We start from the raw sequence: 14,786 nt of genomic DNA, 5'->3' as shown, positions 1-14,786 counted from the left end.
ACACAGGTATATTGACAGAAAACAGGAGCTTGGCTGCCATGGATCTGCTCAGGGTTAAGGGTGGAGAAAGAGTTGACTGCAAGAGAACAGCAGGGAGTTTCATGGGGTAATGGAACTGTTCTGTGTCCTGATTGTGATGGTATTTTAAGAATTTATGTCTGTGTTAAATGTCATGGAACTGTGCACCAAAAAGGTCAATTTTACTGTATGACTTTAAAAAATAAAACTTTAAACAAGATTACATAAAATAATGCATGTTTAATAGAGTCCCTGGCAGACAGTAAATTTTATCTATGAGTTCTTTCCAAGACTGTGGTATAGAGTATATCTCCATGCATCTAATTTAATAGAGCCAACTGGTAGAGTTCAATACAGTGTGCCCAGGCGAAACATAAAATAAAAGAAAATACTATAAACCATGTAAATAGTGCAGTGATTCTACCTGACCACCTCCTCAATACATATGTGCTTGGAGTGCAGGAGAGATGGGAAAAGTGAATCTGATCTTCCACATTTGGTGCCAGTTCCCGCATGCTCCTCTCATGGTATGGACATCTCTCTGCACTGAATGTGCTACTAGTGTTTCAAGATAAGAACATTTCCTAAAATATGGCCTCCAAATGCACGCCAACTATTTATTCTGGTAGTAATCCAAAGAAACAGGAATATGTCTAGACAGTGGGAAAAAACTGGCTGCGTTGGGTTTATTGGCATTCAATTTGATGTCTTCCTAAAAGATTATAAAAGGTAATTTTGGCTATATGCAACTCTTGCCGTACACACTTATATGATTTAAAATCAGCTCTGTTGCTCAGAGATGAGAAAACTAACTGATATTTAATGCAGGTTGTCATATACATATGCTTGATTGGCTGTTTGGAATTGCTAATAGTCCTTATGCAATGCTCCTAGAAAATGTACCAGCCATTATGACAGCTCAAGGACAGGTAGACCGCAGAGACACTCGGACCCAATGACAAATACAGGTTGACTTCCACACCTCCCATAGTTTCAGGTTAATGAAGGTAAATAGTCTAGTCTGTTATCCTACCCCCAAATGAATGAGTCTTGACCTAAAAGAACTCTTTGGCAGTGGTATTTAAAAGCCGAGACATACTCTTCATTGTTGAGAGTCTGTAGATTATTCATCTTTTAAAGTCAGATTTAATTTCTGTAAAAGTAAATGCAATTTTCAGTTAGATCTTATGTTAAGTTAATTCTGTTAGAGATACCAATTTTGGTAGAAAGATATTATATATATTTTTATATATAATTATATATAAAATATTATATATATATATACACATACACACACGTATATATATTAAGACATGCCTAGGAAGTGAGGAAGCTGGTTTTAGGGGTCTCCCAAAATGTTTGAGACCTGTATAGACTGGAAAATGTTAACAGGCTGGGAAATTGCTTTTTAAATGTCTTCAGCTCAGTGTTAGTCTTTCAAGTTGACTTCTTTGAAGGCAGAATATTAACACAAAAGTATGTATTCTAGCATTTATTATTTGAGTCTCATCTCTCCTGAGCTTTTGTTTTGTTAAGGTGCACAATCTTGATGTAATCTTAATTTTTGTTTGTTTGAAAAATCCAAATTGAGCAATGCATAGGCTTACAAAAGAATACAATAATTGCTAATATTTTATTGTACAACTACATTGGACTATGTTGAAGGAACTCTCCTAAGCATTTGACAAGTGTTATCTTATTTAATCCTCACATCAACTTTCTGTAAAAGCTACTATGCTATACCCATTGTACAGTAGAGGGCTGAGATCCAGAGAGGTTAAGTAACCTGCTAGTGGCCAAATGGGTGGTAGGTAAGTTGTAGAGTCAAGGCCCCTTGATAAGGTCTGCCTGACACCTGAGTGCCTGCTTCCCAGTCTCCTTGCTACGTTGCCTTCCAGGAAAGGCATGGAAAATAATCAGAATGGTAACAAAGCAATCCAAGACAGGATATGAGAACCAATCAGGATATAGGACATTACTGGGGATTCAAAATGAGTTAGGGAGAAGAGGTACCAACAGGCGAACAGCCCCTTGTTCTGATTTTCACCATTTGAAATAACGCCCAGAATAATCCGTCATTTATTATTATTATATTTTTCGAGATGGAGTCTTGCTGTGTCGCCCAGGCTGGAGAGCAGTGGTGTGATCTCAGCTCACTGCAACCTCCACCTCCCAGGTTCAAGCAATTTTCCTGTCTCAGCCTCCTGAGTAGCTGGGACTACAAGTGCGTACCACCACACCCAGCTAATTTTTTTTTTGTATTTTTAGTAGAGACCGGGTTTCACCATGTTGGCCAGGCTGGTCTTGAACTCCTGACCTCGTGATCCACCCTCCTTGTCCTCCCAAAGTGCTGGGATTTTAGGTGTGAACCATTGCGCCCAGCCCATCATTTATTATTTTACCTAAATATTTAATTTATTAATTCACTCAACAAGTGTGACTGATCCCCTATTACAAGCTGAGAGCTGAATGAGCTAGGCACACAGAGTTGAATCTACCAAGGCTTCTGATGTTTTTCCATTTTATTTTCAGTTGACATGTAATAATTATATATATTTATAGGATACAGAGTGATATTTCAGTATGTGTATACAATATATGAAGATCAAATCAGGATAATTAATGTATCAGTTACTTCAAACATTTATGATTTCTTTGTGTTGTGAACGTTCAAAATAGTCTCTTCTAACTTTTTGAAAATATACAACAAATTATTAAAGAGCTTTTAGTCTCATATGAGCTATTATTTACTTTAAAACATTTCATCATAAAGTATTATAATACATGTGTGTTTATTCTACACTCTAATAAAAAATACATACTTCAGAGTGATCAACCAGCCCTTAATTATTAGAGTGATACCCCGGAAGTGCTGCTGCAAGAGTTTCAGCTCTTTATCTCTAATCAACAATATGTTTTGTTTATTGGCATAATAGATTATTTTCTATCATGCTAATAATCAAAGCTGTTTCCATTAGTGCAATTAGGGTGTTCAAGAGGTAGATTGGCTAAAAATAGCATGGAGACATACTCCATCCTTGCATGACAGGGTATGAGAATCTTCTGACCTCAGTGGTCTTTATATCTAGTTGAATGACAGATTGTTGTGTATAAAAACTTATGAAGGCTGTAGATGTTATCTTCCACCAGGAGAGGATCAACCCTTTCCTCTGTGGGGTGGATAGACTGGGGCTGGGAGAAGCATCTTCCCCAAGCTTGTGACTGGGCTGCGTGTATCTTGGGTTTGTTCCTGTTCCCAGAATGAGGCCCTTCTTCTAAGTGAGAACATGAAGTATCGACCAGGACCCCAGCGCCTGGGAGATCCTTGACTTCTCAGTGCACACAGAATACAGAAAACTCCCATTTGCTTTTCAGAAGTTTTCTGATTTTTAATCTCCTATTCCATGCAGCTTCAGAATTCTGCAAATTTCTTAAAGGGAAACCAGCTGTGTGTTTGAGGCTCCTCAAGTCTCCAGTGAATTCCAGCCTCACATAAATGCAAAAACCTCTGCTTTCCCATCCCAACAGTGGCCCTCTGTTGGGCCAAGCAAGATGCTTAGCTCTGGCCATACCCGGAACTGGCCAAAGCTGACAGGGAACAGGCAGCTGCAAACAAGTCACCTCACCACTGCCCCCAGGCCCCATGAACCAGAGTTCCTCCCCAGCAGTCAGCGTCTTCGTAGAACCATGAACTGGAGGAAAGTTCTGCTCTGCTTTTCTAAGATTTTTAAACTTAGTTTCTAAGTCTCCCACTGGGCTCAGCTTCAGGATTGAGCAAATGTCTTCAAGAAGTAACTAGCTGTGTGTTAAGGCCATTGAAATCACCAGTTGGGTCACCTCCTTACTGCATACCTGCTCCAGTCTCTGCTGTTTTCTCCTTCCCTCGCAACAGCGGCCCTTTGCTGGAGCCAAGAAAGGCTTCTCAGCCTCATAGCCACACCTAGAACTAGGCAAATACCCCCTAGGAAAAGCTGCAAAAGATCCCTTCCTCACCCCTCTGGGATTTTCCCGTCTGGAATTTTAGCCCATCTAGTCCTCATTGCTTTTGCAGCTCTCTGATGCCTTGAAACAGATGTGTTTTTTGAATTTGATCTAGCTTTTTTTTCAGTTGTGTTCCCGTGGGAGTGTTAAGCTGCCATAAACCACTCTATTCTAAGTGGAAAGCCCCATCTGCACTTTTGAAATGGCAGCCAATGCAGGACCCAGGTTGCTGGTGGGAAGGACTCTTCTGCATGATGCCAGCCATAGTGTTGAATCCATCTTGCCCCCAGAATAGTATCCATTTTGTGTCCAATGAAACTAAAAGGATAGAATTGGGACTCAAGAAGATTGCCAAACAGGTTCTAGACTGTTTGGTGTCTGCTTTCTAAAAAAAAAAAAAAAAAAAAAAAAAATGTGTGAAAGATCTGGGTTTGAGAATTTTCCTTTTTTTTCTTTTCATTTTTTTGAGACAGAGTTTTGCTCTGTCGCCCAGGCTGGAGTGCAGTGGCACAATCTCAGCTCACTGCAACCTCTGCCTCCCAGGTTCAGGCAATTCTCCTGTCTCAGCCTCCCAAGTATCTGGGATTACAGGTGCATGCTGCATGCCTGGCTAATTTTTTGTACTTTTAGTAGAGTTGGGATTTTGCCATGTTGGCCAGGCTGGTCTTGAACTCCTGACTCAGGTAATCCACCCCCCTCAGCATCTCAAAGTGCTGGGATTACAAGCATCAGCCACTGTGCCCGGCTAAGAGTTACTTTCATTATAACCTGGTAGGAAAGTTGCAGGGGAGGAGATCCTAAACTGTAAACTACCTCTAAATTTTTGAAGGTTACTAGTTCTTAAAAAAAAGAAGCTAATAATTGGGAATGACCAAACTGGCTTAGATCCATTCTCAACATAGTTCAATTTATTTCGTTTTGACTGACATCACTTCTTCAGTAATAAGTGCTACAAATAAACCAGTGTGTAAAGCATTATTTCCTGTTCCTTTTGCTCTAAAAATAACTAACTTTCCACTGAACAACTTCATTTACCCGGTCCATGAGGTCCATAAGTATGTCAATATATTTGTTTTTCACCTCTGGGTCCCCTCAATTGTTTCAAAAATATCAATTCTATGTCTTCTCAGTCTTCGTATTTTCTCACTTGAGTGCTTATTTTCCCATTTGTATATTTACCAAAATCCCTAATTCTAATTTTAAATGATCTTTCCCAGAGACTTTTCTTCTCCAGCTCTGTATTCCTTTGTTTATTCAAAGATTTACTAAGTATTGCTTTATTATATCCAGACTTACATACTGTACATAGCCACATCTCAATTTTGTAGCTGAGGAAGGCAATATTTGATTTCATATACCTGAAGGTAATTGATATTTGATTGTAGAACTACCCTTTTATTCCAAAACAGAGAATCGAAAGTACTCTATACCTTGTCTGTCAATTTCTCACCAAACCTTAGCATACTGTCTTACACATACTAGGCATTTAGCAGCTATGTTAATGTATTAATCAATGAAAAATATATTAAATTCATTCAGGACGTAAAGGAGTAAGTAAAAGCGCACACATGATATGTAGTATCTCCCATGTTCTTCTCTTGAATCTCATCTAAAATAAAAGCCCATGTTATAGACTCAGAGACCTGTTTGGTGCTTCAGGCCAAAAGAAGCAATAAAAACTTTGTTTAAAAAAATCCATCTTTGCTTCTGAAAGAACAGAAGAGTGAGGATAGAAGTCTTATCAAAAGAGAGAGCTTCCCAAACCATTCTTGAAAGGACATAGAAAACAGGTACAGGGGAAGGTTTACATTCAAAGAAGGAATGATAAAGGTGTGAAAAGGCAAGAATATAGAGGTGTCGAAAAGTACACTTAGATTAAAGAAGACAGTACGCTGTGTTGACTTTCTAGGTAGAAACTACAAGGAAAGGTGATAGTGAGGAACCCTGGAGCAAGACAGGAAGAAGGAAGCTTATTTCACTAACTTCTCTTTCAGACCCTAAGGCATCACCTACACTGAAGTCTGCACATTACCAGCACTCTGAGCACTGTGCTGGGAGGGTGAGTTAAGAGAGAGAAAAAGTGTTTGTGCATCTTGATATTTATGAAGATCTATTGGAGACCATCCATGTGCTGAAGCCACCATTTGTTTTGCTTGTGGAGGTTTTCTCTTATTTGGTTCTTTTAGAATAGGAAGAAAAACCAGAAAGAAATGATTTCTAGAAACCATTTCTCTCAACAAAACACATGTTTCTGACCTCATCTTCACTCGCCTTCTCTGGGGAGGACTTCTGCCCAAGTTGATATGATGATAACACATATTAGGAACACATTTAACGTAACAATGGTGTGCACAACACACTTGAGCATTTATCCAGGAGGATATGTGATACTGGCAAATTGAAGGCTGGTTCCAATTTGTTTGTGGATAGACACAGAATACTAAGTCCAATGCAAAAGTGCAGAGTAAACGTTTGATAAATACAGTCAAATGAATAAACCAATGAATGAACACAAAACAAGTTGAACCATACATATGTAGAGAAAACACCATAGAAAGAGTCGTCTAAGTTCTCTGCTTGGTCATAGATTTATCGCATCACCAACAATTTATTGCATCAACAAATGAAACAGTAAAATGAATCCAAACTTGTTTAGTACATCTAAAAAAATTGCTGGCAGATAAAGGTATCTCAAATTCAAAAAAAAAAGGAGACAGAAGTTTTATGTCTTACATATGCAGGTCATGATTAAAAAATAAGAAAACAGGCTGGGCACAATAGCTCATGCCTGTAATCCCAACACTTTGAGAGGCTAAAGTGGGAGGATCACATGAGCCCAGGAGTTTGAGACCAACCTGGGCAACATAGTGAAACCCCATTTCTATTAATTTTTTTAAAAAAGATGAGAAAGCAAAACAAAAACATTGCTTCATCCAATTAGAACATATAGTGAAAAACAAAAGGATGTCAGGCCTAAGCTTGGATTCTTGCTCCATCTCTTCTGTTTGCTTCAGGAATGTTACTTAACTCCCTCGAGCCTTTTTCCTTGTCTTTGAAATGTGCTACCCATACTTATTTGGAAGTGTATTAACCTAGTACATATACTAAGTAAGCTCATGAAGGTAAAGGCCTTGTGGGTTCTTTTCACTTGATAGGAATTTTCTATTTAGATTCCTCTTTCTTCTTGGAGTATGTTCACTAACATACCCTTTGCTGCTGACTACAAAGTAATGTGCTCATGCCATTTTCCAAGAGAAAGGAGAATTTATTAGGTTGATCAGAGAAGCATGCAGTAAGAATATAACAAGTATGCTGATGCCAAGAACAGATTTCTTCTTATCTGGTTACTGTTCTTGTTTTCCTTGGACATTTCATCTCCAAATCCACTTCATGCCCACATAGAACAGTCTTCCGGAACATAGATGGATGAAGGGACCCAATAAAGGTTTGCTCTTTTTTGGTTAGGTCACTTCTTTCCCCTCTAGAAATTTATCTCAGGCTCACTGTGTGTAGTCCCTATACATATGCTTTTATTGTTCATATCCAGAATGCAGAAATTCCCATGCTGATAGGTGGGTTCAGACAGCCATGTCTATCAACTCATCATTTTCTTGGAGCAGTCAGTCTTGGATGGCTTTAAAATAAGGCTGAGAGATCAATCATAAGACCACGAAGAACAGTCACGGTTTTCTTTTGGCAAGAGCAGCAGTTCCCAAACTTTGGTCATTTTAATATGATGGCCATGATTTTTGTCACATTGACACACCAACTCATCTTTATGTTTTTATCATAGTTGCTTAATACTTCCTTAATATTCTTTTAAGTCACCTCCTCTTTTTACCCAAAATTATTTAAAATGAAAGTTTATATTATTATTTTCAATGTTAAAAAATCACCATAAAAAGAAAATTTTAAAAAGTATAAATTCTAACTAGAAGGTTGTCTAAGATTCTGAGCTTCTGACCTGCTTTTTTTAAAGATGGAGTTTATGAAGTGTAAAAGATATGTGTTAAAGATTTGTAGCTCCTAACTTAGACTTTCTGCTTGATGAAATCAGCACTGAGAAGGAATTGAAAAGGGAATCACTTCCTCATCCTGTGGGGCAAGGAGATGTAATGCTTTTATCTAAGGACTATCAGTAATGAGGAAGTGCCTGTTACAGGGCGCTGCTAAGGGCAACCCCATTTCTCTGGTTACAGGGACCTGCAAACTCAGTGGGGGCCCAAGACAGGTACATTCGGGTCACGGCCAACATGCGGAGAGAGAGAACACACACCTTTTCGGTGAGTACCCTGTTACATAGACATTTTACAAATATTGGTTCCCTGGAAGCCCCTCCCACCTCCCCTCTCATCCTTGTAAGTTCTTCCTTACATCCCACCTTAATATAAACAATAAACAGTTATTACTGAGGGCTCCCTATGTGCCAAGCAGTTTCATGTATCATTTCATTCAATCTTCACCACACTTTAATCATTTTATAATTGAGGAAACTTAATTTATAACTGAAGCAACTTGCCCCAAATTGCCCAAGGGCAGGGATCTCTTATGATTTGGGGTTTCACCACCAAGATATAATTAGAGATAAGGATGTTATTTAGCTAATTAAGTCAAATAGACAAAACAAACCATTTGCCTCAATTATCTGAATTTTGGCTCACCATTCTTAAAGTTTGGCTCAGAAATTATACTCTTCTTTTTTCTAGGAACAGTTTTGTTTTGTTTTTGGCTTGGGTAATCTGGCTTATTGCCTCGGTTCTCTCATCAGTGACTACCACAGTATTGTTCTCAGAGCGATTTCATAAATATACATGGAGAGAGGAAGTAAGGGAGAAAGACAGAGAGAAGAGGAGAGAAGGAGGGCAGCAGGGAGGGAGGAGGATGCCTCTTTGTTAGCAAACCCACTGGACGTGTATGCCCGAGAATGAAGGTCTGCACCAAATGATTGCTAATAAACCTCATCACTTTTGGTCACTTCCCCTACTATCAATGGTTCACCGCGTTTCTGTTACCCTCAGCCCTGAAATGGAGCTCACAGAATTGGCCCTAACCTCCTCACATGGCTGTGACAATCTAATGAGCATATGTTCGCAGAAGTATTATACCCATAAACACGTTGCTTCAGATGGGGTTCTTCCTGGTGATTTAACTGGGTGCTCTGCCCTCCTAGGGAGCTGCAGCTTTGCAAAACTCTCCAGAACTATAGTCACAGCCAGCCATCACTTTAGGGATAAAACTAAAGAAATTCTAGATCCCATCTAAATTCTCCATGCCTTGTATGTGCAAATGTGAAAAGCCAGAAACACCATTCCCAGTTCCATGGTCTATTAATAATATTCTTTCAGCTCCAAAACAATTCAGTTGCTCTGAATGAATTTAACATATCCTTGCTCCATTATTCAAATTCAAACATCACCTCCATGAACAAAACAAAACAGGACACATTTGCCAAAAACAAAAACATGTTTTGCCTCAAATTTCTGGTTTGACAATTCTGGGGGTAATAATTAGGTGAATAAGTGTTTCAGCCACCTACTTCATTTTGCTTATATGTGTGAGCATCCACAATATAGTTATATTTATAAACTATAAAGATGTTTCTTCTATGTCTGAATTTTTAAAAGTCAGTACCTGCTGAAATTCTGTCCTATTTGCAAACAAGAATGTTTGGCCCCTCACTTTTCCATTTAGCTTAAAAAAATCTCATAAGTATCCTAATAAATATAGGGTCAAAGCAGTTCTCATGCATTTATGGCCAGGTTATCACAATAAGACCTTTATTTCCTCGTTATAAAATATTTTTAAATTGCCCTTTAAACTGCCACTTAGCTTATGGAGTTTATGACAGTTTTTTGTTTTATCTTCAAACTGAAGCACTGAACTGACAATAGTCATGGGCTTGTTGAATTTAGATTTTTCTCAACTACTATTGTCGATGTCAAGTAACCTCTACAAGTGTGCCAAGATGCTTAGTTCTGTTGCCTGCAGGTTAACTGTATGGGTCCCAGAGTCTTCAAGACTCAGGGAAATCTGTGATTGTAAGAAACAACCACCCCCACAAAAAACTTTCCCACCTGGAGGACTTCTAACTGAAGAGTGAAAAGTATATCTCTTAGGGACTAGGGGAGAAGGGACCAAAGCAACTAAGAGTGGAAATACATTTTAAGACTATCTTATTGTATAAATCAACATGAGGTTTTACACACATAACTGGAGTTGAATATATGACTACCCACCTGTACCTCTGAATCCATCTATTTGTTGCCTATCTGCAGAGCTACCACCCTTGTTCAAATACTTTCTTGGAGAATAGCAATAGTCTCCTAGCTGTTCTCCCGACACCAACCCTACTCTCCTATACTCCAGTGTTCACACGGCAGCCAAAGTAATCTTTGAAAACACAGAACTAATCTTGTCACTTCCCTAGCTTAAGAAAAAAGACAGTGATTTCTCAAAACTCTTCAAAGTAAGGTAAATGGCCCCAGCATCGTCCTCTCTGACCTGGCTGGTTTCATCACACACTGCTCCCCTCTGTTTTCTGTGCTCCAGCCCCAAACTCCTGTGCATCTGGTATGGAGTCTTTCTCCCCTCTTCTCCACCTATATGGGAAGCAGTGGAGTGTAGTTAAGAGAATGGTTCTGGAAAATAACAGGCAGGGCTGTATTGAGGACTCAAAGAGTTACTACATGAAAAGTGCCTAGAGTAAACCCTGATACCTAGTCTACACTCAGTAAGTGATAGCTGTTTCAGGAGGTTACTCAACTTTCAGCTTTCGGCTTAAATAGCACTTTCCCTGGGAGGCCTCTCCAACTCCCCCAGGCCAAGCCTGGACAACCTATTAGGTGCACTCGCAACTTCTTCCACTTCTTTAAGGTACTTGTCACAATTTGTAGTTATGGGTGACTATTTGGTTGATTTCTGTCTCCTCTGCTAGGCTATAAACTCAGCGAGGTCACAAATCATGACTATTTTGTTCACCATTTATCATATTCTGAGCACTTAACTCAGTGCCTGTAGTCTACTGGGTGGTAGGTATATATATATTTAGAGTTGGAGTCTCACTGTGTTGCCCAGACTGGTCTCAAACTCCTGGCCTCAAGCAAACTTCCTGCTTTAGCCTCCCAAGTTGCTCGGATTACGGGTGTGAGCTACCATGCCTGGCTAGTCAATATATATTCATCAAGGGATGTTGAAGAAATAAAAAAGTAGATGGGTGGACAGATGAATGGATAGATGGGTGGGCGGGTGGATGGATGGGTGGATGGACGGACAGATGGACAGACGGACAGATGGATGAGTATATCTGGTGAAGTGATAAACTAGGTAAGGTAAAGCCCCAAAAAGAATATTAGGGATCTAAATAAACATGGATCTTGTGGAAATAAAGACAATTGTAGGGTGGTACAGAAGAGAAGGAGGAGAGTTATCTGAAATTTTAACTCTAAATTTTATTTACTTCCAGTGGGAGGGAGTGCTCAGGCTGAAGCTTCCTGGTAAGCAGAAGGAGAATGGTCCTTAGCCGAGGCCTCACAGCATAACACTAAAGAGCACAGACTCTAACATCTATCAGACCTGATTTGAATTCCAGCTCCACTGCTCCCAAGCTATCCACAGAGAGCATGTTTCTTCACATTCCTAAGTTCCATTTTTCCTGCTGTAGAATTGGGTAACAATAGTGCCCTCCTGTGAAGATATTAGGAGGCTTAAGTGAATTTTGGATGTAAAGTGATTCACTCAGTGCCTTGAGCATAGTCATAAGAAACTGCCACCCTGAGCTCAATCTTAAAATCCTCAACAAAGCAACACGGTTTGTACTGCTGTGTTGTAAGGGGCAGAGGGAGTTGCAAGTGAATCACAACAACCTTGCAGAAAATCTGCTTCTGCTCCTGCGAGATAGGACACACAGCAGCCATATCTTACAGGGACAAGTTGCTCCACGTATCTTGTGCCTAAATTGCTATTCCTCTTCCTCTCACCCCCTGTGATGAACCCTGGGTCCTTAGGGGCTCAGCTGGTATTTTCAGTGTTGTCAAAACTAACTTCCTAATTACTTGAATTACTATAACTTGAATTTTTTTCAAATACATATAATTTTCCAGAGACCACTAATTCTCTTTTCATAAAATAAAGTCCTAAAATAATCTAGTTGTGTTCTTTCCCCAAAGGCCTTACAAAAAAAAAAAAAAAAAAAAAAACAAGGAATATGTGCTTTTGAAATCACCTCATGTCTCCTGGATTTCCTCATTCACCAGCAAAAAATTTAATAATGGACCCAGCACAATTCACAGCGGGGGAGGAAAATCTGCCACCCAGTCCTCAAGGGAAGAGACATGAGGTTGACTGCAGAGTGAAAATTTAATCTCTGCCTGAGGTTCCAAAGAAAAGGGGGTCTGAGCCGATTGTTCAATTACACACTCAGTAAGCACATGGTTGTGTTATCCCTGCTGAAAAAGGGCAGTGAGCCAGGCTTTCATTCTTGTGTTCAGCATACGGGAGACTGCAAAGACCACACAGATGGCAGACGACAAAGAATAACCCACTTCTTCACGAAGGCAATAAGTGAGTTTCTGTCTGGTGGTAACACAGATTGGGTGATTGTGGCTGGCAGGCGCAATTAGTTGTAAGCTTGATATGGCCATGGGGAGTGAGGGGCCCAACATAGATTTCCATAATATAGATAGCCCTTAGATTTTACTAGAAATTATCCCAAATCCTATGGGAATATCTGTACTTGTGAACACACAGTTTCCTCCATAACATTCAGATGATTTCAGATCCTTAGTGACTCTGACCTAAACTAGTTTTCTCTGGCTAAGAATGCTTTTTCATACCCCTTTCACTTTCTCTTCCTTTTCTTCACTGGCACTAACATTGGCTTTTTTCAGAAGCAGTTTTCTAAAAATAAATCAAATATTTTTTGTTGTTTCCTAAGAGTCATGGCACATGTGGTAGGGAAGGAACAATGAAACCATGCGGAGATGGGGATATGGAAGGTGGGCAGGGGGCTAGGCTCCCTCACCCACTAGACCAGACATATGAACGCATGTCAGGGGAAGAAAGGGAAACAAACCTTACTGATTTCTGCCCTTCGCCTGGTATGATAAGAGTTCCTTCCATGTCATATCGTCTTACTCCAGAGTTTATACTCATAAACACTGTTCTTTATAGGAACTCTGCGAGGTTTGACCTTATTATGTCCATGTAATGACACAGAAACTGAGACTTGAGAAGGTCAAGAAGAAAAATCTCTTAGCAGTGTGTAGGATCTTTATGGACCTGTTCCATAAACAACAAGAAATCATGGTTACATTTTGCTTTATGGCAACAACAGGTCTCAACCAAGGCTATATCTCAGAGTTACTTAGAACTTCTGAAAATGAAGGTTTCCATGTACTGTTCCTGATCTACGGAATTGGAATCCATCACCTGTTATCTATAGAATGAAATTGCTAAGTAGCCTTTTAGTCAGCAATTTCATTCCATAGATAATCCTGCTAATTATAAAGAATAACTCTTTTATCTCATTTAGTTTTGCAATGGCCCTTAAAGGAACTACTGTTAGGATTCCTATTTTATTGATGAGGAAAAAGGTACAGAGAAGTCTGGGAACATGCCCAGTGTCACGTAGGAAGCGTGGAGGCAGAATTCAAACCCAGGTTGTTCGTGCCTGAATTTTTCCCACTACATATTTATTGTCTTCCCAACATTCAGGATGCTTCAAAAGAACACAGGGCTTTTGATGCCCAGACATTCCTACTATTTTTCCAAAATCTATTAAAAATGGGGATGGCAGAGCATCTATGAATATAATTAATACCTGGTATTTCAATAGCAATTTTTAATTTAAAAGGGCTATGTATTTATTATGCTATTTAATCCTCACAACAACCTAGAAGGAAAATGTTATTTTTCTTATTTTACAGACAGAAAATTAAGCCTGGGAGGGATTAGATAATCTATCTTGGATCCTACAGCCAATGAGTGATAGGCCCTGGATTCAAACCCAGATTCTCTGCTTCCACAGCCCTCCCCACCTTGGCCTTACTAATAGTTCTTGGACCTCAGAGGCAGCCTCTTTCTTTTCTCTGCCTTCCCTGCCTTGCCACACAGGCTTTGTGTTTCTTTGTGCCTCCTGATGAAGAATACAAGTGCAAATAGCAAGAGCTTGATGCCATCAACCTGTGATTCTGGACAATCTGATGCAATCATCTTTCTCACAGCATCCTCAAGGAATAAATCACAGGAAAGAGCTCCTGGGCTTTTCGTTTGTTTTAAACAATAAGAGATGTTCAAGTTGTTATCAGTGTTTGAGGTTTCTAATCAGCCTAAACTGTCTGCTCTATAATATATGCTGACCTTCTAGACTGATAAACCTGCATAATTATTGACATCTGCAAAAGTTAGTGTTTGCATATTATGTTGCGGACACAGTTCTGACAACATTGGGAGCAGCAAGTATTAGAAATCATTACAGGCAGGCTGGCTGTGAGAATGGTACTTTCAATTGTACCAGGCAAATGGCAAACAGATGAGTTTATATCAAGGCTAGAAATAAATTTATGTTTTCTCTATATACCCAGCCTTCAGATCAAGCCAAAACAGCAATTTTTGTTTTCATCAATTAGAGAAGACAGTCTCTTAGGGGTCACAGCTGGTTTATTTGCCATGTCTGTGACAGCAACAGTGGCAACAAAAGCTGATATACGTCATTTAAATAAAGGCATACAGTCTTGGTGTTATTTGGTGAGACCTGTCATCAAACTAAAAAGTTAAAAATCAATCAACGT

At 39.4% G+C, this 14,786-nt stretch overlaps 4 annotated features.

Moving 5' to 3' along the window:
- Nucleotides 3,702–3,761: an enhancer, noted in NCBI's record as "active region_23353". NCBI's record gives its function as "activates an Ori minimal core promoter by ATAC-STARR-seq in GM12878 lymphoblastoid cells {active_cell/tissue: GM12878}" and the evidence as "EXISTENCE:reporter gene assay evidence [ECO:0000049][PMID:35858748]".
- Nucleotides 8,120–8,179: a silencer, noted in NCBI's record as "silent region_16485". NCBI's record gives its function as "represses an Ori minimal core promoter by ATAC-STARR-seq in GM12878 lymphoblastoid cells {active_cell/tissue: GM12878}" and the evidence as "EXISTENCE:reporter gene assay evidence [ECO:0000049][PMID:35858748]".
- Nucleotides 12,389–12,468: an enhancer, noted in NCBI's record as "active region_23352". NCBI's record gives its function as "activates an Ori minimal core promoter by ATAC-STARR-seq in GM12878 lymphoblastoid cells {active_cell/tissue: GM12878}" and the evidence as "EXISTENCE:reporter gene assay evidence [ECO:0000049][PMID:35858748]".
- Nucleotides 12,589–12,688: an enhancer, noted in NCBI's record as "active region_23351". NCBI's record gives its function as "activates an Ori minimal core promoter by ATAC-STARR-seq in GM12878 lymphoblastoid cells {active_cell/tissue: GM12878}" and the evidence as "EXISTENCE:reporter gene assay evidence [ECO:0000049][PMID:35858748]".

The sequence above is a fragment of the Homo sapiens genome, chromosome 5 (assembly GCF_000001405.40).
Source record: "Homo sapiens chromosome 5, GRCh38.p14 Primary Assembly".
Classification (NCBI taxonomy): Eukaryota; Metazoa; Chordata; class Mammalia; order Primates; family Hominidae; genus Homo; species Homo sapiens.
Note: the sequence above shows the minus strand (reverse complement) of the source record. Positions and strands in the feature narration are given on the sequence as shown.